The sequence below is a fragment of the Homo sapiens genome, chromosome 20, assembly GCF_000001405.40.
Source record: "Homo sapiens chromosome 20, GRCh38.p14 Primary Assembly".
Taxonomy (NCBI): Eukaryota; Metazoa; Chordata; class Mammalia; order Primates; family Hominidae; genus Homo; species Homo sapiens.
The window spans coordinates 23,742,161-23,765,291 of record NC_000020.11 but is presented as its reverse complement, the minus strand read 5'-3'; the positions used below and the strand labels follow the sequence as shown (position 1 = coordinate 23,765,291).

Below are 23,131 nucleotides of genomic sequence, written 5' to 3'. Positions count from 1 at the left end.
GCTTCCTTTGTACATTATCTGACATTTTTCTCTAGATGCTTTTAGATTTTTTATATAATTGACCTTGAAAAACCTGGTGACTATAGGCATTGATGTTCATTTTGTGTAGTATCTTTCATGTGCGTCTGTGTGAAGAGACCACTAAACAGGCTTTGTGTGAGCAATAAAGCTTTTAATCACCTGGATGCAGACAGACAGGCTGAGTCTGAAAGAGAGTCAGCAAAGAGAGATGGGGTGGGGCTGTTTTATAAGATTAGGGTAGGTAAAGGAAAATTACAGTCAAAGGGGGGTTGTTCTCTGGTGGGCAGGAGAGTGGGGGTCACAAGGTGCTCGGTAGGGGAGCTTTTGAGCCAGGATGAGCCAGGAGAAGGAATTTCACAAGACAATGTCTTCAGTTAAGGCAGGAACAGGCCATTTTCACTTCTTTTGTGGTGGAATGTCATCAGTTAAGGCAGGAAATGGCAATCTGGATGTGTACCTGCAAGTCACAGAGGATATGATGGCTTAGCTTAGGCTCAGAGTCCTGACAGTATCTCGCAGGTGTTCTCTTCATTTTTTGTGTCTAGATGTCTATGACACTAGCAAGATTAGGGAAATTTTCTTGGATTACCTCAGATATGTTTCCCACATTGTTTATGTTTTCTCCTTGTCTCTCAGGAATGCTAACAATTCAGAGGTTTGGTCATTTTATATAATTTCATATTTCTCAGAGACTGTTCATTATTTTTGTCTGTCTGGGTTAGTTCAAAGTACCAATCTTCAAGCTCTGAAGTGGTTTTTTTGTTTGGTCTAGTCTAATAATAAAGCTTTCAACTGTATTTTGAAATTCCTTAAGTGGAGTTTATCAATTCCACAAACTCTGATTGATTTCTTTTTAAAATGTGTATTTCTTTCTTCATCTCCTGGATTGCTTAAGAAATTTGTTTTTGTTGATTTTGAATATTGTCTTGGATCTCATTGAGCTTCTTAGCAATGTATGCTTTGAATTCTTTATCTGTCATTTTTGAGTTTTCATTTTGGTTAGGAACCATTGCTGGGGAGATAGTGAGATCCTTGATGGTCTCACAATATTCAGATGTTTCATGGTGCCAGGATTCTTGTGCTGTTTTTTTCTCATCTGGACACATTGACACTTCTAATTTTTGAAATTATTTTCATGCAGACAGAATTTTTTTTCTATCTTTCTCTATATCATTGTTTTTCTTTCCATTTCTACCCCTCTCTAGGGTGTGTGACTATAGGGTTTTTGGCTTTGCTTCTATAACACTATGCACTTTTGTCAGTATGTTTTATATTGGGCCACGTGGTTTGTCTACAGGCCAATAGACGGTGCTTGTCTGTAAGAGTTGGCTGTGGCTAATGCAGATGGGTATATACTTGATTCTTGTTTACCGGGAGAAGTTTTCTGTTGCCTCTGGCATTGGGCTGATCCTGAAGTGCACCATGGTGTGAGCTCCCTGCTTATGCCTGGATGAGGTGACCAAGAAGGGCAGGCATAACTACAGGTGCTCCAATAGCAGGTACAAGCACCAGCATTGAGTGGGAGTCCAGTGGGCATCAATTGAGCACCCAGACATGTGCCTAGGCCTGGATGTGAGACACCTCCTTGGACTCAAATTCTCTGCAAGGGGTAGAATGCCTCAATTCCTAATCCAGGGGAGTCAGTGCTCCAGATGCCTGGATATCTGCCTGAGCATGGAGTGCAGCAGGTGCTGCTATACCAAAATCTCTGCACAGGAATATTGGGGCAGCTCAGGATGTTGTTCCAGGTGAGCAGGTGCTCTACATGTCTGGAGGTCTGCCTGGGCATGGAGCAGAGAGGGTCCTGCTTCACCACTGTCTCTGTACAGGAAGGGTAAGGCAGAAAAGCCTGCTGATTTAGGCACAGGGGTGCTCTGAATGCCTGTAGATCTACCTGGGTATGGAGTACAGAGGGCCCTGCTACACCACAGTCTATACATAGGAAGGGTGGGGTTGCTTAGGCTGCTCATCCGAGTGAGCAGGTGTTCTGAATGCCTAGAGATCAGCCCTAGTGTAGGGCAGATAAGATCCAGCTGCTCCATGATCTCAGGGAAGAAGTCTGGTGCATCCAGCACCGATACACAGAGACCAGTTCCAGGTACCAAGATGACCTTGGCTGCAAGTCTCATGACATAGGAGAACCCATGACTGCAGTAGCCCTCCTCTGGCTTCAGACTGGCAACAAGGGTGAACACAATTCCAACACCTATTATTAGGGCATTTTTCGCAGTCATTGCTCAGTTCTAATATGGAGACCCCTACCCCATTCTAGCACAAGCACTCCCATATGGCCCAAGACTAAAATGAGTTTGTAGGCAAGCTGCTGGGTCACCTAAGAATGACTGACTTATGAGCCCAGATTAAAACTAGCATACTGCTCTTAGTCCTAGGTCTAAGAAAATGGCAGCAACTTTTTCCAGTGTCTTTCCTTCTCAGAGTGTCCAGCATCTCCCCAAGTTAGCTCTAGGGCTTGGGAGAAACAAAGTGCTCTCCCTTGACCTGGGTCCATGGAATCCCCAGTGGAAGGGTACATCACAGAGGGAGACTCTCTACCCCCTCACATTCTGGGACATCGCTCACTTTTATCAGGAGCACATTAACATAGGGGCTATTTGCCTACATTCTCCTCCCCAGAATCTGAGGTGTCCTTCAGGATTCCAGTGGATTCCCACTCTCCTTCTTGAGTTAAAACTCACAGAGCCGATCACTAGGTACTATTTTGCTATTTCCAAGTGCTTAGGCACACTGAAAGCTTCTAATCTACCACTGGGGGGAAAAATGCACAATGTTTATCAGAATCCCTGACCTCTGTCCACTAAATGCCAGTAGCACATCCTCCCAAGTAGCAACGACCAAAAATGTCCTAGACATTACCAGTGTGCCCTGGGAAGCAAAATTGCCCCAGGTGAATAACTACAGACAGAGGCACCATGGCCTCCCTGTAGCAATGAATGTGCACAGGCACCACTCGGGATTGCTTTCTGAACTCACCACAGATTTCAGCCAGTAATTCTAGAGTTGGATGAAGGAAAGTATAAAATAGATCTAGAACTTCTTGTTATTAATACATGAGAAGGTAAGGATAGGCTCCAATAATAATGGAAACATGTCAAGAGAACAGAGGAAGCTGTTTAAAGGAGCTCTCGGTAGCCAACTGTGAGATAATCTACACATTGCAATAATAGTGGTAACAGATTATAACTTCTTGAATAAAATAAGAAACCATGAGTTAGATCTATCGAGAGACAGAAGCTAGGTAGGTAGGTATGTAGATAAACAGACAGATGAGAAAAGCAAGTTTTCCTTACAGTGGAATGAATGCCATTAATAAATACAGAAGAAATGATGAAGTTAGAAAAAATAGTCACAATCATCATAATAGCAATTGATTCATGGAAGAATTATCATTATATGCTAATGGTAGAAAGTAAAAGTTCAATAATAAGTAGAACATAAACCTATTTTCTAAGTATTGCTCCTTGAAATACTTATTAATTATACAACAAATAAAGTAACTTTAGAGTGGAGAAAGCTGGAAGATGCTATCTAAATCTAGAGATTAATGTTAACATCTATCAGCAGTTGGACGATGGTATCCTAGCCTCCTGGAATGAGGTACTGAGGGACACCATATCACTTCTATAATTTTCATCTGAAAAATGCATCACCTGAATCTAATCCATTGATGACCCCAACAGAAAACATTCTACAAAATAGCCAGTTATTGTCAAAAATGACAGGATAACAAAGACAAGAGAGAATGAAGGGCTTTTCCAGATTAAAGGAGACTAAGGAAGCTTGGCAAATAAACACCATTGATAAATTGTCTGAACAACAGACTAGACAAAAGGATGTATCCACACAAGCATCATGATTTTGCTCATTGAACTGAGGTTGTGTTAGAGAATGTCCTTGTCCTTAGGACACACACATGAAAGTATCTGAGGACAAAAGAGGCCATGTCTGCAATTTGCACTCAAATGACTTGTAAAAACCTATAATAGCTTGTACACACATAGAAAGAGAAGGAAAAAGCACAAGATACAATGTTATGAGTGGGAGAATTTGAATGTATACAAGAGTTCTTTATATTACTCTTCCCACTTTTTGTAAGTTTGAAATCACTAGGCCGGGCGTGGTGGCTCACGCCTGTAATCCCAGCACTTTGGGAGGCCAAGGTGGGCAGATCACAAAGTCAGGAGATCGAGACCATCCTGGTTAACACGGTGAAACCCCGTCTCTACTAAAAAAATACAAAAAATTAGCCGGGCGTGGTGGCGGGCGCCTATAGTCCCAGCTACTCAGGAGGCAGGAGAATGGCGTGAACCCGGGAGGCGGAGCTTCCAGTGAGCCGAGATTGTGCCACTGCACTCCAGCCTGGGTGACAGAGCAAGACTCTGTTTCAAAAAAAACAAAAAAGAAAGAAAAAATAGAAATCACTACAAAATAAAAGGTGCCAAAAATAAAAATTCAAAATACAGCAAAGTTCTATGTAAGGATCATCGACATGCACAGCCCTGTGTTGTCAGCTAGTTGGGAAGTCATGGAAACACCTCCTAACTTCTCAGCCTAGCATCAGTGTGTCAGGGGAATGTCCAAGCCATTGCGTGATGAAGCTGCAGGCTGGCTGGTTACTAAGAACACGTTTCACCAGCATCCACACTCTGTACTGTTCCTTAGAGCAGAGACAGAATGTGAGATGGAAGGGACTGGGGCACTGGAGAGGATGCAGGGACAGAGGCTGAGGAGGAAATTCCCTCCAATTTCCCTAGATGTTGCACCTCACAAGAGATGGCCACGTTCCCCACCTCATCCTACCTGCACCTCCCTTTGCAGTGCAGGGGGGTCACTGTTGTTTCCCAGCCCCCTTCTTCTATTTCATCTTGAGTTTTCATCATAAAACCCCATCCTGCACATTGCACACCTTCACAATTATTTGGCTATGATTCTGATACCATGTGAACCACACTGGGTGGGAGTAGAAGTGAATTCTCTATTAGGAAGAACTCAACAATCAATACATAACAAATCATAGGCCAAAAAAGCCTCTACCAGGCCATACCCTTTGACCAGCCTGTTTTTATGGAGAATAAACACGGGCTTTTGGAGAGGAGCTTTCCTCATATGGAGGATCCCATCTAGGGAGCCAGCACTTCCCAGATACCCCAGGTGGAACTCAGGAGACTGAAAAAATCACCCTTGTTAGCAAAAGTTTAGACAGCCATGCCAGCATGAAAGCCACAGGCTTCCTGGAAGTGTGTGCCATGTCATGGCACAGAGAAAAGGGGTTTTCCTAGATTCAAGGGGGTATGCCAGGATTGATGGAGAGCTGTCTCCCTTGCTGGAACAAAACTATACATGCATGCCCCCTCTGCCATGTGGCTAGCAGCAACTCTCTCCAAAAATTGCAGCATAAACCCCCATTGCCTTTGTGCATGGTCATGGGTCTTGCTTGGGCCTTAACAGATGTGACAAGGACAGAAACCTTAACCCTGCAGATGCGAGAGGTGGGTCCTCCTGCTCACCTCCTCACCATCATGAAGAAAACCTGATCCAAGCAGACACTGCCCCTTAGCATGGGCCCCAGGTTGAAGACACAAGGCAAGCCAGACCAGATCTGCTAAGCCCCAGCCCATTTGCAGGCTCCAGAGCGTGACAGGAACAGTTTCTTGCTTTTAGTCCCTAAGATGTTAAGAGTTTTTCCTGTGGAACAGCAACTGACTCACACATGATTTATTCCATTTTCCACTGTACTCCTTCTCCACTCTTTTCCCAAATGAACTCTTTACTGTCCCCTTGACAACCTACCTCCCATAAGTAATTGAGCTGCTGGCTGTAAAGAAACAGAAGCTTTAAAAGTTTCCTTTTGGCAAATCCTAAAAGCAGCCCATATATCAGAGACCCAGGACAGCACTTAACTCTTCCCAGATACAAATAAGCAATCCAGGAGGTCTGTGGGGGCACAGCATGCTGGTCCTCCGCATTGCCCAGGTCCTGGCTCCTGACTGTAAGTCAAGACAGCACCTCAGTGAGAAAAGGGGAGGATCCCGGTTCACCCTGTCAAACGCCACCCTAACCCTAAAGTGGCATGCTAAAGAGAGGCAAAGGAGAATGCAAACCACCACTGAATGGCTGTTCCTTTAGAGAGCAAAACAATAATCACAGAGGCTGGAATCCACTTTTAGCTTTTATAATCTGATGCACATGACAAACAACACAAGTAGAACTGGGGACTCCCAGGTTGGCTACCCTATTTCAGTTTGATTATTTATCAGATATTTAGAACTTTCCCTCTTTTTTAGACTTTAAGTTCTAGGGTACATGTGCACAATGTGCAGGTTTTTTACATATGTTTACATGTGCCATGTTGGTTTGCTGCAGCCATTAACTCATCATTTACATTGGGTATTTCTCCTAATGCTATCCCTCCCCCACACCCCCACCCCATGACAGGCCCCAGTGTGTGATGTTCCCCGCCCTGTGTCCAAGTGTTCTCATTGTTCAATTGGCTCTCTGTTGGTCTGTTATCGGTGTATAGGAATTCTTGTGATTTTTTCACGTGGATTTTGTATCCTGAGGCTTTGCTGAACTTGCTTATCACCTTAAGGAGATTTTTGGCTGAGACGATGGGGTTTTCTAAATATACAATCATGCCATCTGCAAACAGGGACAATTTGACTTCCTCTTTTCCTAATTGAATACCCTTTATTTCCTTCTCCTGCCTGATTGCCCTGGCCAGAACTTCCAACACTGTGTTGAATAGGAGTGGTGAGAGAGGGCATCCCTGTCTTGCACCAGTTTTCAAAGGGAATGCTTCCAGTTTTTGCCCATTCAGTATGATATTGGCTGTGGGTTTGTCATAAATAGCTCTTATTATTTTGAGATATATTCCATCAATACCTAGTTTATTGAGACTTTTTAGCATGAAGCACTGTTGAATTTTGTCAAAGGCCTTTTCTGCATCTATTGAGATAATCATGTGGTTTTTGTCTTTGGTTCTGTTTATATGCTGGATTACATTTATTGATTTGCATATATTGAACCAGCCTTGCATCCCAGGGATCAAGCCCACTTGATCTTGTTGGATAAGCTTTTTGATGTGCTGCTGGATTCGGTTTGCCAGTATTTTATTGAGGATTTTCACATCGATGTTCATCAAGGATATTGGTCTAAAATTCTCCTTTTTTTGTTGTGTCTCTGCCAGGCTTTGGTATCAGGATGATGCTGGCCTCATAAAGTGAGTTAGGCAGGATTCCCTCTTTTTCTATTGATTGGAATAGTTTCAAAAGGAATGGTACCAGCTCCTCTTTGTGCCACTGGTAGAATTCAACTGTGAATCTGTCTGGTCCTGGACTTTTTTGGTTAGTAGGCTATTAATTATTGCCTCAATTTCAGAGCCTGTTATTGGTCTATTCAGCAATTCAGCTTCTTCCTGGTTTAGTCTTGGGAGGGTGTATGCGTCCAGGAATGTATCTATTTCTTCTAGATTTTCTAATTTATTTGCATAGAGCTGTTTATAGTATTCTCTGATGGTAGTTTGTATTTCTGTGGGATTGGTGGTGATATTCCCTTTATCATTTTTTATTGGGTCTATTGATTCTTCTCTCTTTTCTTCTTTATTAGTCTACTAGTGGTCTATCAATTTTGTTGATCTTTTCAGAAAAAACAGCTCCTGGATTCATTGATTTTTTAAAGGGTTTTTTGCGTCTCTGTCTCCTTCAGTTCTGCTCTGATCTTAGTTACTTCTTGTCTTCTGCTGGCTTTTGAACTTGTTTGCTCTTGCTTCTCTAGTTCTTTTAATTGTGATGTTAGGGTGTCGATTTTAGATCTTTCCTGCTTTCTCTTGTGAGCATTCGGTGCTATAAATTTCTCTCTACACACTGCTTTAAATGTGTCCCAGAGATTCTGGTACGTTGTGTCTTTGTTCTCATTGGCTTAAAAGAACATCTTCATTTTTTACTTCATTTTATTATTTACCCAGTAGTCATTTAGGAGCAGGTTGTTCAGTTTCCATGTAGATGTGTGTAGGGAAAAGAAAGAGAGATCAGACTGTTACTGTGTCTATGTAGAAAGAAGTAGACATAAGAGACTCCATTTTGTTCTGTAATAAGAAAAATTCTTCTACCTTGAGATGCTGTTAATCTGTAACCCTACCCCCAACCCTGTGCTGGCAGAAACAAGTGCTGTGTTGATTCAAGGTTTAACGGATTTAGGGCTAGGTAGGACGTGCTTTGTTAAACAAATGCTTGAAGGCAGCATGCTTGTTAAAAGTCATCACCACTCCCTAATCTCAAGTACACAGGGACACAAATCACTGCAGGAGGCCACAGGAACCTCTTCCTAGGAAAGCCAGGTATTGTCCAAGGTTTCTCCCCATATGAAAGTCTGAAATATGGCCTCGTGGGAAGGGAAAGACCTGACCATCCCCCAACCCCACACCTGTAAAGGGTCTGTGCTGAGGAGGATTAGTAAAAGAGGAAGGCCTCTTTGCAGTTGAGATAAGAGGAAGGCATCTGTCTCCTGCTACTCCCTAGGCAATGGAATATCTGCTTGTAAAACCCAATTGAATGTTCCATCTACTGAGATAGGAGAAAACCACCTTCAGGCTGGAGGTGAGATATGTTGCTGGCAATACTGCTCTTTAATGCACCAGATATGTTTATGTATGTGCACATCAAAGCACAGCACATTTTCTAACCTTGTTTATGACACAGAGACATTTGTTCACATGTTTTCCTGCTGACCATCTCCCCACTATTACACTATTGTCCTGCCACAACCCCCTCTCTGAGATGGTAGAGATAATGATCAATAAATACTGAGGGAACGGAGAGACCTGTGCCAGCGTGGGTCCTCCCTATGCTGAGCACTTGTCCCCTGGGCCCACTTTTCTTTCTCTATACTTTGTCTCTGTGTCTCTTTCTTTTCTCAGTCTCTCATCCCACCCAATGAGAAATGCCCACAGGTGTGGAGCAGCTGGCCACCCTTTCATCTGGTGCCCAACGTGGGTGCTTTCCTCTAGGGTGAAGGTACGCTCAAGCGTGGTCACTGAGGACAAGTTGATGAGAGATTCCCGAGTACGTCTACAGTCAGCCTTGTGGTAAGCTCGAAAGAAGCCAGGGTAACAATGGGGCAAACTAAAGTAAATATGCCTCTTATCTCAGCTCTATTAAAATTTTTGTAAAAAGTGGGGGAGTTAGTGTTTCTACAAAAAATCAAATCACGCTATTTCAAACAATAGAACGATTCTGCCCATGGTTTCTAGAACAGGGAACTTTAGATCTAAAAGATTGGAGAAAAATTGGAAAACAATTAAAACAAGCAAGTAGGGAGGGTAAAATCATCTCACTTACAGTATGGAATGATTGGGTCATTATTAAAGTAGCTTTGGAACGGTTTCAAACAGAATTACTAAGCAGAGACATCAAAGGTAGGAGGTTCTAGATAAACTGACCTAACAATATTGTTGCTAAAGCCAGGACAAAGCCTTAGACATCAAAGGAAAGAAGAACTTGGTCAGATGTTGAGGGTGATCAGATACCAAGGGTGGGGGGGAGCCTTTCTAAACTGACTTAGCAGGATTCTTTCCTAAAACTGGGCCATGAAGCCCTCGCAAGAACAGGAGGTCCAGGGCTGGGGACTAGGGTTGAGGACCAGGGCAGAGGAAGGCTCAGAGGAGCCTAACAAGGGTTTGGTCAAGGTGAGTCTTGTCACTGGATCCAGCTCTTCTGTGACAGGAGGAAAGGGCAGGCAGGGCCACAGGAGGGAGCAGGGCTGTCCTGATGGCCTCTGGCTCCAGCTCCAACACTCAGTGATTGAGTTGAACAGGATTCCAAGCAGGAAGAGGAACCAATCTCCACAGTCACTGCATTTTGCTAAAGGAATTGATATTTAAGGTTACACAAACAGTGACAGGGAAGTCCCAGCAGTGACCCAAACAGGATAAGAAAGTCTGACCACCCAGAGATGTCAAGGAGATGACTCACCTCCTCAGAGTCATCTGTTTTCCTCATGGCCAGGCCTCTGCAGGCTGTAGCCCAGGGAGTCAGATGGATCCCTGGCTGCAGCAGCCAGCAGCCCGAGTTCCGGAGGCCGCCCCTACTCCCCTCCATTCATATGTGGTTCTTCAGTCAGTGAATCTGCACTGACAAATGCTCTTTTTGATTTTTGAAAAATAAATGTTAACTTGTACTCCAGAGCCAGGAATACCATTCATGTGCTGGTCCCTGAGAGAAAGGATTCTCTTTCTCCCCACGGAGTGCAAAACAATCAGACCTGACACTGGGCTCTGCCCTCTCTTGCCTTTCCCAGCCGGGGCTGCCAGCAGGCTTCCCCATGAGTATCAGTTTCCTAATGATGTGGAAAAGCCAAATGTGGTACCAACATGGGCCCATAGTTTAGAAGCATCCACATGTCCTAACAGAGCCAAATGTGTTACCAACATGGGCCCATAATTTAGAAGCATCCACGTGTCCACGATGTGTGAGGAGAGGGAGAAAAGAAGGAAGGATGGAGTGTGAAAGAGATGAGCTTGACCCCAGAGAATTCCAGGCACTCCATAAAGGAGGCTCCTGGGCTTCCCATTTGAGAAGCCACCAAATCCTGTGGCTGTTCAGTCCCAGCTCCTACCATAGACCAAACTGTTAGTTGCTCAAAACCCAGTTGTGCAGAATCTCAACTCTTGGCCAGCTTGTCCTCACCACTTGCACTTTTACATGATGCTTTCTGCGCTTGGTCATTTATTATGGTATTGTTTAGTGTTCACTTATTATTGGTCATTTATTGCAGAGAACTTCTGCCACTCACCTAATTTCTCATCCTACTAATTCAGATAATCAGATCAGTTCACCTGTGCAGCCTAGGGGAACACAGCTTTCTCTTTTGTCACCTAGCAGAAGGAAAACATGCCCCCTCCTGGGCAGCTGGACTCCTCTAGGTTACATGGGTGCTGGAGGCCCCAAGCTTGTTCCTCAGTCCATGGTTGCTATCTGGCCCTCTTCTAGTGTGTCCTTAAAACTGTGGACTATAGAAATCAGGGAACAAAGTGTTCTGCCATTTTTTTTAGATGGGTGTTTCACTGTGTTGCACAGGCTGAAACTGAACTTCTAGACTCAAGGAATCTTCCTGACTCACTCTCCTAATAAGCTAGGATTACAGGTGCAGTACCACACCTGGCTACTCCATCATTTTTAACCATGTTGATACATCACTGCTGAAGTCTGCTCATCTCTGCTGGTCTTAACTCCCAGATACTATGCTTTAGAAAGTAGCCTCTTTCTCCAGATGCATGACAGACACACCATTTGCCTAAGGTCATCAAACATCTGGAGCAGCTGGCCAGCTACCTCAACCTGCTACTTCCTATCACTCCATACTGGACATCGCACTTGTACCTCCTCCTAAGAGCAATGTACACTGGTATTTTTCCTACTGGGATTAGAGAGCTTGCTGCATCAGAACAGCTGACCCTCCCTGCAGTGCATGCCAGTGCCCAGACAGAAGATGACCACTGGTGGTGTCATCACATACAGGGCACAGGTCAGCACTCTGGCCTCCCTCCCTCATACTCCACCCACCAGCACATTCTCGCTATTTGGGTTACCTGCATCTCCTTTCCAATGATTAAAACAAAACAAAACAAACAAACAAAAACAAACAAAAAAACAAGAGGATTGCTTGACCTTCAGTTTACCCTCTGCACAGCATGTCTTCCTGAGCCTGGACTCCCAGCTGTCCCAGGAAGGTGGGAGCCACAGAGGAGAACTAACTCCTACCCTTTGGAGATGACCATTCTGCTCCCAAACACCTGGTAAGGGACTTCCTTCTCTTTCCCTTCTTTGGAAATCTCTCCCCATTTCCTGTCTAACTAGGAGGCATATGTGCAGCTTTGTTTGAAGACCTTCCCTCCTTCACCCAGCAGTAAACACCTTCGGTACACCTGCTGTATCTGCCGGGCTGCACGGCTATTCTAGGGGTGCTGGATTCACAGTGGGGTGAGATGGTCACCAGGCCTCAGGTAACAAGGTTCCCTGTACTAATACTGAACATGAGCACCCATGAGTAATATGGTTCCCAATGCCGGGTTCCTGCTGATCCAGCCCCAGCCATGTCCCAGCCCAGGATGACTCTTGGCCAGCTTGTCCTCATCACTTGCACCTTTATGTGATGGTTTCTGCACTTGGTCATTTGTTTATTATAGTATTGTTTAGTGTTCTAAACAGGTCTGGGCTGACACTGGCCAACGCTCACCTCCACCACTCCTGGGAGAGTCCTCTGGGTGTCCTGCTAAGGTCCAGGGTTTCCTGTAGCTTCTGGCCAAGCCTGCCACCTCCCCATAAGGGCATTTGCCACAGGGTCACCTTCAGGCATGGAGGGTGGGGTTGAGAGAACAAAGGGAGCAGCTGTCTGTTCAGAGCCTCCTTCCACCCTCTCCTCTCCTGGAGTCACATTCCAGCCCAGGCCCACAGCATCCCGAGCTGGGGGCTTTGTCAGCCCATAGGACACCCAACTGACCAAATCCTCTCAGTCTGCGGAGAAGGAGAACTCACAATCCTGGCAATGAAGCAACTCGGGGGCCGCCGGAAAGCCACACTGGGCAAAGGACAAAGACACACATGGGCTCGCTCTGCAGGACTCCATTCCTGGGAAGCTCAAGGACAGGCGACCAAGGAGTCTATGGGGCCGGATGGGGACTGCCAAGGTGGGGTGGGCACGAGGGTGGCTGGAAAGGCAGGAAGATACTGTCTGGGGCAAGGCAGATGTCACAGGTCTGGATAAAGTGGTAACACAAGTGTATGCATTTATGAAACACCCCAGATTGAGCACATACTATTAGGCATTTTATTGTATGCAAATTCTACCTCATTTAAGGCAATTTTTAAAATATCAGGTGAGTCTTCCAAGCAGTGAACAGAGGAAAGGAGCCTGAAGCATGGCTGCCTAGGACAGAAGCAAGAGAGACCTGTGGGTTCCCACATTCATCCCGTGGCTGCTGCTCCCTTTCCTGACACCCCCACTGCCTCACAGGGGTCTCCGTGCACCTTCCACCGGGCCCCACCCACATTTACTGTGAGACTCCAGGTCGTTCCCTTCCCTCCTCATACCCCCTCCAGGAGCTTCCACTTTCTGGAGCAGGCATGTCCCAACCCCACCTCAGGGCCTTTGCACTGGCTGTTCCCCACTGCCTGGGGCTTCTCAACCTCTCCAGTCTCATAGAGACCACCCTGACCAGGGTCCAGTGGTCTCTCTCTAGCCCCTGTTCTATTTCACTTCCAAAAGAGTGAGCATAACTCCCTGACCCTAATTTTTGATCGTAACCTACCATCCCCTACACACATTGTGTAGGAATGGACTATGGAGTTCCATAGAACCAGCCACATGTGCCACAGGATACTTGAAATGGGGCCAGTCCAAAATTACTTCTGGTCTAAGTGTTAAAAATACACAGGGAATTTCAAAGATTTACAAAACCAAAAAAAAAAAAAACAAAAAAAAAAAAAACATAAACGATCTCATTAATAATTGTTCCCATTAGCTGAAATCACATTGTGGCTATATAAGGTTAAATAAATATTTTAAACATTACTTTCACCCATTTATTCTCATCTTTTAAAATGCATCTACTAGAAATTTTCAATTGCTCGTGAGTTCGTGTCACATGTCTGTTGGGCAGCAGCTCTGCAATGTCACCTCTATGGCTCATCATCCAGGTTCCGTCTTCAAGCCCTAGACCTCCTGGCACGGGGAGTAGCTGGTGATAGGTTTGCTTATTGAATAATGAATTATGAAAAGAGAATCCAGTGACCTTTTCCAAAAAGGTTAATTCCCTTAAATTTGGCAAAGAAATTCTCCACATTAGGGTATGGACAGGGTCTTCTGGAACTTTCTGAAATAATCTCCCTGTTCCAGAGATTCAGAGACTGTGACCAAGTGCTCCTGGATGCCCCTGATATCTGAAGACCCTGGGAGGCCAAGCCCTGTATTTTTCCCCTTTCTGAGCAAACAGGAAGTCACATAGCTTTCACAGTCAAAGGACCAGTGTCACCTCTGTGGAGACCTGGGTGACTCAAGCTTGGGAGCACTGGGGAAGAGAGGCATGGCTCGGGGAGGCTGCAGTGAGGACTGGAGTGGGGAGGAGGGGGAGATGGAGGAGGAGGCCTGGGAGGGGCAGGGGGAACTTAGGCAGGGAGGGAGCTTGTAGTAGCGGGGGAGTGAAAAGAGAGATGGAGAAAGAGGGGATGGGAAGAAAGAGGAGGAGGAGTCAGGGGTGGGGCATGGAGGTGGGTGGGGCTGGGCTGCCAAAGCAGGATAAATGCACACCTGCCTGCTGGTCTGGGCTCCCTGCCTCGGGCTCTCACCCTCCTCTCCTGCAGCTCCAGCTTTGTGCTCTGCCTCTGAGGAGACCATGGCCCAGTATCTGAGTACCCTGCTGCTCCTGCTGGCCACCCTAGCTGTGGCCCTGGCCTGGAGCCCCAAGGAGGAGGATAGGATAATCCCGGGTGGCATCTATAACGCAGACCTCAATGATGAGTGGGTACAGCGTGCCCTTCACTTCGCCATCAGCGAGTATAACAAGGCCACCAAAGATGACTACTACAGACGTCCGCTGCGGGTACTAAGAGCCAGGCAACAGGTAGGTGCTCCCTCCACCCCAGGGGTCCTGGGTCCCAGCCTGGTTTGTTCCCCAACCCCCAAGAGCATTCCCAGCAAATCAACACTGATACATTCATGATCTAATGCTCAGATTCATTCAGCTTTCCCTGGCTCTCCGCTGATGCCCTTCATGCCTAAGCACGCTCCCCGGCCGTGCACAAACTCAGCTTCCTTTAACCTGCAGCAGCCACTGTGTCTGTACCATGACTGTGGCATTTCCCAGGGTCCAGCAGGTGTGGATGGAGACTGTGCTTACTCTGGGTGGGCTTGATGCTGCTCAGGATGAGATCCAGGCCATGAGGTTCATACTCCTCCCTGAGTCCTCTCTGCAGGGGCCACACAGGAACCTGGCTCACTGTTCTGCAGAGCCCTGCTTCCCCAAGTCACGCCCCTGGGCACAGCCCCTTATGGCTAGCGGCCTTCACCCTCAGGCCGGCTGACAAACCCCTACAGCCCAGGGCGCTGAGTCCCTGCTGGGGTGGAGCATGCCTGACCCTGCCTCTACCAGCTGATGCAGTTAGACCTCAGCCAGATGAGGACAGTGGTCACCCAGCAGAGCAGAGGAGGGGTCAGGTCGGGAGGGAGCTTCAGCAGGGCAACTGGGCCCAGCTTGACCTGCATCCCATGGCACAGCAGCAAATAGTGACACAGTCTTTAGAGCTCCTCCACCTTCTCCTGGAAATTCAAAGGAATCCCCACCAGCCCCGTTTCTCCTCTTGCAGCTGTCAGCTGGGGCTCTCTCCCTGCATACGAGATACACTCCCTGGTGCCGTGGTCCCCGCTGGCCTGCATCTCCCTTTCAAGCATGACAGTAACTTGGAGTGAAGCACAGGGCATTGCAGACCATCAGGCCCAGAAGCCTATTTTAGACATGGGTAAACTGACACTCGAGGGATCTCAGCAGTTCCTCCTGGTTCCAGAGAGTCCCTCATCCCAGGTTTCTCCACAGCTCTGCCACATTGTGTCTGGGAAAGGCCCTATGCAGGGAAAGGGTTCAATTCTAATCTGCAACTGTAAGACACGCAGGTGTGCTGCTGACTTGAGAAATGTATCTTGAATCTCACACTTGAAATGGTGGCATCCGGGCGGCCCCATTGATCCAAAATATCTGTGTGTGTGAAGCATCTCATTTCCTACTCTGAGTGAAGTAATAAATCTATGTTAAATGGAGGGAATAAGATTTTCAGAAGTTAGGTGAAATTTTGTCATCAGACAGACTTCCTAGAAAAGAGTCAGTGTTCCCTCGCCCCTGAGCCACAGACAGCAGAATTCAATGAATCCTTTTACCCAGCACAGAGAAAGCAATGTTTAAGAGCGGGTATGAGGCTCAGCACCCTGCCAGTTGACAGGAAGAGGGGGCTTGTGTGCCTTGTGTTGACATGTGGGCAGCTCACGAAGCCCCCAAGCAAGTCCAGTGACTCAGCCACAGTGAAGTGCCTGTGAGTGCATGAACTGATGGGGGCGCTGTCCTGTTTTCTCCTGTGTGCAGACCGTTGGGGGGGTGAATTACTTCTTCGACGTAGAGGTGGGCCGCACCATATGTACCAAGTCCCAGCCCAACTTGGACACCTGTGCCTTCCATGAACAGCCAGAACTGCAGAAGGTACGTTCCTGATGCAGGTCCCGGGCCAGTCATGCACTGCAGAGGGGTGCGTATGTGTCAGCCTCTGCCCTACACATGTTTGGAGGGTGTGTGTGTGCAGGTGGGTATGTGGGGAGCCGTGTATGCATGGATGTGTACGTGTTCATGTACTTATGGGGGGGTGTGCATGTAGGTGTGCATGTGGAAAGGTGCACGTGTGTACACACCTGTGCCAGTGTGTGCAGGGAGGTGGATGGGAGCATGTGTGCCTGTGCATGGATGTGTGGGGGGTGTATGGGGCTTTGTACATAGATCCATGGGGATGAGGGGTCCAAGTGAGTTTACGTAGTTGTCCATGTATGTGCAGATGGGGTGGTGAGGGAGGAGGGTGATGTGTTTGATTTGCTAGGAAGGCTTTAGGTTGGGAATGGTTACTATAAGGTCAATTCTGCCTGCTTTGGAGTGTTGCCTGTTGGACAGGAAGAAGCAGCTGTGCGGCTGTGTGCTGGGCAGGGAGAAGGGGCTCTGTCTAATCCCAGCCTCAGGCACCTGCATGCAGCCACAGCCACAGTGATCAGATTAGTGGGACCTAGAGGCCTGTTAGCTGGGAAGCCCTGGACCTGCCCGGCTCACCCAACACCAGCCTCTCCAAGGACCTGCTGGTTCTTGTGAGGTCTCCACTCAGGGGAGAGCCACACTCCCCTTGTTGCCCTTGCCCCATGCCCCAGCTCTTTGAGGGGGAGTTGCCCTGCCCTGGGTTCTTCCCTCTGGCCCCTCTTAGTGCTGGCCTGGGTGCTGGAGGTGGAAGGAGCTGGGGGAACTGAGCTGCCTCCCCATGCCCTGCACCCTTGGGGCTCCCGAGGCCTTGCCCAGGCTACTCCTCACAGGGCTGTGCTGGGACAGGACACTGCAGGCTGGGGTGGGGTCCCAATGCCACCTGGTGACTTGGAGCCTTGGGAGGGGCAATGGAACAGTCACTATTCATTCTAGTTCAGCACTCTGGGACTCAGTAGGGGTGGGTGAGGGCCCAGTGTCTCACCTCCATCCTCCTCACCCAGGCTCTGACATCTCATGCCTGGGCATCTTCCCCTTTAACTGTAACCCACACTGATTGGCCCTCTCTCTTCCCTTTCACAGAAACAGTTGTGCTCTTTCGAGATCTACGAAGTTCCCTGGGAGAACAGAAGGTCCCTGGTGAAATCCAGGTGTCAAGAATCCTAGGGATCTGTGCCAGGCCATTCGCACCAGCCACCACCCACTCCCACCCCCTGTAGTGCTCCCACCCCTGGACTGGTGGCCCCCACCCTGCGGGAGGCCTCCCCATGTGCCTGCGCCAAGAGACAGACAGAGAAGGCTGCAGGAGTCCTTTGTTGCTCAGCAGGGCGCTCTGCCCTCCCTCCTTCCTTCTTGCTTCTAATAGCCCTGGTACATGGTACACACCCCCCCACCTCCTGCAATTAAACAGTAGCATCGCCTCCCTCTGAGTTCTTGGCTGTCTGGGGATGTGCACGCAGGCGGGGTTTCTGCAGTTCCTTTATGAAGCCTCCTTGTCCTGCTGGTGTGGAGATCACAGGAGTACCTGGGAGCTGACGCAGCCACAGCAAGGCCATCAGGGGAGCTGCTGCCACTTTCAGAGACCTGAGCTTCAGAACAGGGAGAGAGCAGCCAGGGACTGGGAACCCAGGCCTTCAGCTGCAGCAGCCCCTGGTGAGGGGGTCAGGGAGAGGAGGGGGCCCAGGCAGCTGCCCCAGAAGCTAGGCTGCTGTTTTGGTCTGAGCTGCTGGTCAGACCACGAGGAGGGGGCTGGCTGTGTCCACAGGCAGGGGCCAGGCCTCAGTGGAGCTCGCCAGGCCATAGAGTCCATCTGTGCTTGCAGAGTGGAGCAGACTCCAGGGACTGAGCTGCTCTCATCAAATCCCCTAGACACTAAATAGACAGCGATCAACGTGTAGTTCTTTCCACAGGAGACTTTAGGCACCTACATGGAAACAAAGTCCAAAAGTGTGTGTGTGTGTGTGTGTGTGTGTGTGTGTGTATAACTTATTGGGAAAAATGCCACCCAGACCAAAGACAGGCAAGATCACCCAGAGAAAGCAACGCCTGCTCTCATCCATCCTGGGAGGGTGTGCCCCAGGCTGGGAGGTTGTCTCCTATGCTAGGAAGCTGTGCCCTAGAAAAGTTTTACACGTTCACACCCAGCCGCCCTTTCTCTGGACTTGAATTTAAAATGAGCACTCAGGTCAGCCTTCTTGGCAGGGATGGAGAAGCTAAAACACAAATGAAAGTGACATGCAGTGGACACTCGATTTTTTCACAAAGGATGTTTTAATTAATAAATAACATCACCTAAGTGTCAAAACCATTCTGTAGAATAGTGGGTAGTTGCGCTCTAAAGAAGAGGCTACAGTCCTAAGACAACGCCCACCCTGCACGGCCCTTCCCTTTGCCATTTCAGGGCAGGGGGTGCAGCCCTCAGGGCAGGTGCCTCTGGGGAAGGGCTCTCAACTATCTTCCATGCCTAGATCTGCGTTGACCAAGAGTGGCTGCCATGAACACCGAGGGGAAAATGACAAAGGGGAAACTGTTGAAACAGCCCTGAGGCCAGCACCCCATGTGCCGCACATAGAAAGCCAGGAGGAGTATGGTCTGGCAGGGAGAGTGGGGAGCACCTGTTTCATTTCCTCTCCACCCCTATGGGATGTAACCAAGGTTTTACGTTGAAGAAAGTGAAGCAGCACCCAGGAGGCCATGAACTGGGGAGATTTGAGTCTGGGCCTCACCCGGTGTCAGGGGGTGGGGGCTGCACACACTGATTCAGGCTTCTGTTGGAAGACAGGGGCTGAGAGCAGAGGAGCATGTGCCCAGGAATCATGGTTAGGGGCAGAGTCTTCCCTGCATGGAGATCCTCATGGTTCTCTACCTGGGGAAAGTCTGTCTTGACATAAGCAACCACCATCCAAGGACACAAGGAACAGACAATTTTGTGTAAACCAGTAACTTTTCTGACATCTCTCTTCCTGGGGAAGTGGAGGGGGACGTCTGGCTCTGTAGAGGGCTCCCTCAACCATCTCCTTGTGTGTCTGTTCCCTAGGAGGGGAGCAGGGGGCAGGGAGGCTTTAAGGTGAGCATGTGGACCTTCATCTTCTGGACCAAGCTGAGGGTCTGGGCCCTGTCCGGAAGCCACCCGGTTTTTGGGAGTAAAGGAGGATACTGAGGGTCATGTTTTGGAAATATTGCACCCCTTCTAAGAGTTCCTTTAGCAAAAATAATGTCACACATTCTTACTAAAAGCCTAAAACCGCTGAGGTTAGAAACTCCACCTTCAGCATAGACAAATCACTCTGAAAGGAGGGATAAGTCCATTGGAGGCCTGGGAAGCGGGAACCAGAGCGGTCATTCCTTGGGCAGGTGGATTCTCAGCACTATGACCACTGGCAATCCAGGTTCCGTGAGGTCTGAGGCTTACATAATTCAGAGGGTTATCTACATGAAAAATAGCATAATATAAACTATTTGAAACTAAACACAGAAGTTAGTGTTTATTTAAGAAAAGGAAATAAGTCACAACAAATTACTCACTTTAAAATGCTGAAAAATGCTACAGTCATCCCAAATTCCAGAAACTAATATACATCCTAGTGCATTCAGTCACCAAAACTGATTTTGCAGTTAACAGACTCAGGATTATTGGCTTGTAGCAAAAAGGGAATAAATTCACATTAAGAAACCTGGGATGACTAAAAAAACAAAGCAAAGAGGTTATTATAAGACTGTGGGGAGGGATTCTTGAGGCTGTAGTGATGGACTCACAACGTAGCAGTCCTAAGTGTAAAGCAGCCAGTGTCAAGTCTGGTCTGCAAAGTGGACCCAGGTCCTCTGTCCTTAGAACCCATGAAGTCCAGCCAGATGTGAATGTTCCATCCAGAAACCCCTTCTCTGTAGCTCTGTGCTTCTGTGTAAAGGTGGACCTAGATCCTCCAGGCAGTGTGATGTTGTACTTACTCAAAAGCAAAGTTTCTGACAGCCCCTGATGCTGGAGAGCAAGGTCTTCCTTTGAGTCAGAAAGCAGTTGTCACCCAAGGAAGAGGCTGTTTGACATTTCGAAGCTGCAGCTTGAGAGAAGCATTGTTTCCTGCTCATGATGTCAGTGGCTTTGTCCTCATAAGTCCATCCATCCACCCTGCAGATGAAAGGGCAGATTTGCCCTTCCTTAATTTGTGTTCTTTTTACATGCTAACATAGCATTTTTATTAACTACTTGACTCAACAGTGTAACAAGTTATTTCTATGTTTTCATACTCAACTATTGAGTAACTATTTGCTTCATCACATGACATTGATTTTATAATAGAATTTTCCATAAATATAGCAGAAAGATAAACCAGTCTTTCCACTAAGTTTGATCACTTTAAAATTCTGATAAATAATACAATCATCCAAAATTATGAAATACTACAATCAATCCTACTTGTGAAAATCATGGATTATAACATTTTCTTTCTGCTTCAAAGCTCATATAGGTAATACTATGCAAATTTGTCTGATTGTTGTCTAATTTGGAAAAGCTTCCAGTTTTCTTTCATGTGAGCGCTAAGATTTTAGTACTTTCTAAATTTTCTTGACTTAAGATTGATGATCTTAAAGACTCTATCAATAATGCTCACTAAACACAGCATTTTAAAACTCTGACTGTTGTAGTGGGCTTCAAAATTGTGCAAATGTATAGCTATATACTATATTGATTACCTCATGGAATGCACAGAGTTTGTCCTGAAAGAAATATTTCTTCAAGCCATCTTACTGTTGGTCAATGTTGTGTCTCTGTTGTTTGGAGCTTGCAATTTCATCAGGATAACAGGAGGTTGAAGGCCAAGTCTGATCCATCAGTTCTGTGCCACCTCACAGGCATACATCCTTGCTGTGGGTAGTTTCACTACGCAGATCTGCACCCTACAAACATGAAAAATCAAGAAATTCTATCTCATTAAATTCCCATAAAAAATACAAAAACTTGGGTCTCACTTGGGTAAAATTAAAAACAAAATAACATAAAATAAAAACAAACTGCCTGGTGTGCTATTGTACATACCATATTAGTGAGTACATTTTCATGACACTAACCTATTTTCAGCGTTCTTAAAGACAATAGATTCCAACCAAGAATGTCCTATCCCATCCAACTAAGCTTCATAAGCAAAGAAGAAAAACAATCTTTTCCAGACAAGCAGTTACTGAGAAAATTTGTTACCACTAGACCAGCCTTAAGAGATGCTTAAGGGAGTTCTAAACATGGAAATAAGAGAACAATACCTACTGTTGCAAAAATACAGTTAAATATAGTTCAAAGACAGTATATAGCAACAATACAATACATACTGCAAGGAAACCAGTTGTCACCTTCATGGTAGGATCAAAAACTCACATATAAATATTAACCTTGGGCCAGGCACAGTGGCTCAAGCCTGTAATCCCAGCACTTTGGGAGGCCGAGACGGCCGGATCATGAAGTCAGGGGTTCGAGACCAGTCTGGCCATCATGGTGAAACCCTGTCTCTATTAAAAATACAAAAAATTAGCTGGGCATGGTGGTGCACACCTGTAATCCCAGCTACTTGGGAGGCTGAGGCAGAAGAATCACTTGAACCAAGGAGGCGGAGGTTGCAGTGAGCTGAGATTGTGCCACTGCACTCCATCCTGGGTGCTAGAGTGAGACTCTATCTCAAACAAACAAACAAACAAACAAAAATTAACCTTGATTATAAACAACCTAAATACACCACTTAAAAGGCACAGATTACAAGTTGTAATTAAAAACCCAGACCCATCCATCTGCTGTCTTCAAAAGATCCATCTCACACGTAATGACACCTATGGTCTCAACATAAAAGGTTGGAGGGAGATCACACAAATAGAAAATAAAAAAGGGAGAGGGTTGCTATTTTTACATCAGATGAAACAGACTTTAAACACAAAACAGCAATTTAGAGAGGACAAAGAAGGGCATTACATGATGACAAACGGTTCAATTAAACAAGAAGACTTAATTATTCTTAAACATATATGCACCCAACATTGCAGCCCCCAGATTCATAAACAAGTATGCCCAGGCCTACAAAAAGAATTAGCCACAGAATTATAATGGGGTACTTCAACATCCCACTGGCAGTGTTAGATAGATCATCAATGTAGAAAACTAACAAAGAAATTCTGGATTTAAATTTGACACTTGACCAATTGGACCTCATAGACATCTACAGAATGCTCCACCTATCTGTGTCCTGAATTGGTTCCTTCTGGTGGGTTCTTGGCCTCGCCGACTTCAAGAATAAAGCTGCGGACCCTGGCGGTGAGTGTTACAGTTCTTAAAGATGGTGTGTCCAGAGTTGTTCCTTCAGATGTTCATATATGTCTGGAGTTTCTTCCTTCTGGTGGGTTCGTGGTCTTGCTGACTTCAGAAGTGAAGCCACAGACCTTCACAGTGAGTGTTACAGCTCTTAAGGTGGTATGTCTGGAGTTGCTCATTCCTCCTGGTGGGTTTGTGCTCTCACTGACTTCAGGAGTGAAGCTGCAGACCTTCGTGGTGAGGGTTACAGCTCATAAAGGTAGTGAGGACCCAAAGAGTGAGCAGCAGCAAGATTTATTGTGAAGAGTGAAAGAACAAAGCTTCCACAGCGTGGAAGGGGACCCAAGTGGGTTGCCACTGCTGGCTAGGTGGCCAGCTTTTATTCCCTTATTTGGCCCCCCCCACAACCTGCTGATTGGTCCATTTTACAGAGTGCTGATTAGTCTGTTTTTACAGAGTGCTGATTGGTGCCTTTACAAACCTTTAGCTAGACACAGAGTGCTGATTGGTGCATTTACCATCCTTTAGCTACA

General features: G+C 46.7%; 1 protein-coding gene and 1 long non-coding RNA gene across 2 annotated transcripts, besides 4 other annotated features; one reads left to right on the top strand and one right to left on the bottom strand.

Moving 5' to 3' along the window:
* Window positions 1–865: an enhancer, noted in NCBI's record as "OCT4-NANOG hESC enhancer chr20:23745064-23745928 (GRCh37/hg19 assembly coordinates)". NCBI's record gives its function as "activates a minimal SCP1, AML or CMV promoter by ChIP-STARR-seq in primed H9 embryonic stem cells {active_cell/tissue: H9 hESC(primed)}" and the evidence as "EXISTENCE:reporter gene assay evidence [ECO:0000049][PMID:30033119]".
* Window positions 7,980–8,730: an enhancer, noted in NCBI's record as "OCT4-NANOG hESC enhancer chr20:23737199-23737949 (GRCh37/hg19 assembly coordinates)". NCBI's record gives its function as "activates a minimal SCP1, AML or CMV promoter by ChIP-STARR-seq in naive H9 embryonic stem cells {active_cell/tissue: H9 hESC(naive)}" and the evidence as "EXISTENCE:reporter gene assay evidence [ECO:0000049][PMID:30033119]".
* Window positions 12,089–12,602: an enhancer, noted in NCBI's record as "H3K4me1 hESC enhancer chr20:23733327-23733840 (GRCh37/hg19 assembly coordinates)". NCBI's record gives its function as "activates a minimal SCP1, AML or CMV promoter by ChIP-STARR-seq in naive and primed H9 embryonic stem cells {active_cell/tissue: H9 hESC(naive and primed)}" and the evidence as "EXISTENCE:reporter gene assay evidence [ECO:0000049][PMID:30033119]".
* Window positions 12,603–13,117: an enhancer, noted in NCBI's record as "H3K4me1 hESC enhancer chr20:23732812-23733326 (GRCh37/hg19 assembly coordinates)". NCBI's record gives its function as "activates a minimal SCP1, AML or CMV promoter by ChIP-STARR-seq in naive and primed H9 embryonic stem cells {active_cell/tissue: H9 hESC(naive and primed)}" and the evidence as "EXISTENCE:reporter gene assay evidence [ECO:0000049][PMID:30033119]".
* On the top strand, window positions 14,357–17,730 carry CST1 (cystatin SN). The gene is made up of 3 exons (NM_001898.3): window positions 14,357–14,653; window positions 16,163–16,276; window positions 17,393–17,730. Exons 1-3 carry the CDS (start codon window positions 14,426–14,428, stop codon window positions 17,474–17,476), a joined length of 426 nt encoding a protein of 141 aa, NP_001889.2. The 5' UTR covers window positions 14,357–14,425; the 3' UTR covers window positions 17,477–17,730.
* A 2,037-nt stretch (window positions 17,731–19,767) lies between these two features.
* On the bottom strand, window positions 19,768–21,205 carry LOC124904966 (uncharacterized). The gene is made up of 2 exons (XR_007067750.1): window positions 21,002–21,205; window positions 19,768–20,435 (listed from the first exon to the last, which is right to left on the bottom strand). It is a non-coding gene; the product is annotated as an uncharacterized LOC124904966 (long non-coding RNA).
* Between the last annotated feature and the right edge of the window lie 1,926 nt (window positions 21,206–23,131).

Coding starts and splice junctions, on each gene's coding strand:
- CST1 (NM_001898.3), top strand. CDS start 14,426: ATGGCCCAGTATCTGAGTACCCTGCTGCTCCTGCTGGCCACCCTAGCT. Junction 14,654..16,162: donor TACTAAGAGCCAGGCAACAG/GTAGGTGCTCCC, acceptor TCCTGTGTGCAG/ACCGTTGGGGGGGTGAATTA. Junction 16,277..17,392: donor AACAGCCAGAACTGCAGAAG/GTACGTTCCTGA, acceptor TCCCTTTCACAG/AAACAGTTGTGCTCTTTCGA.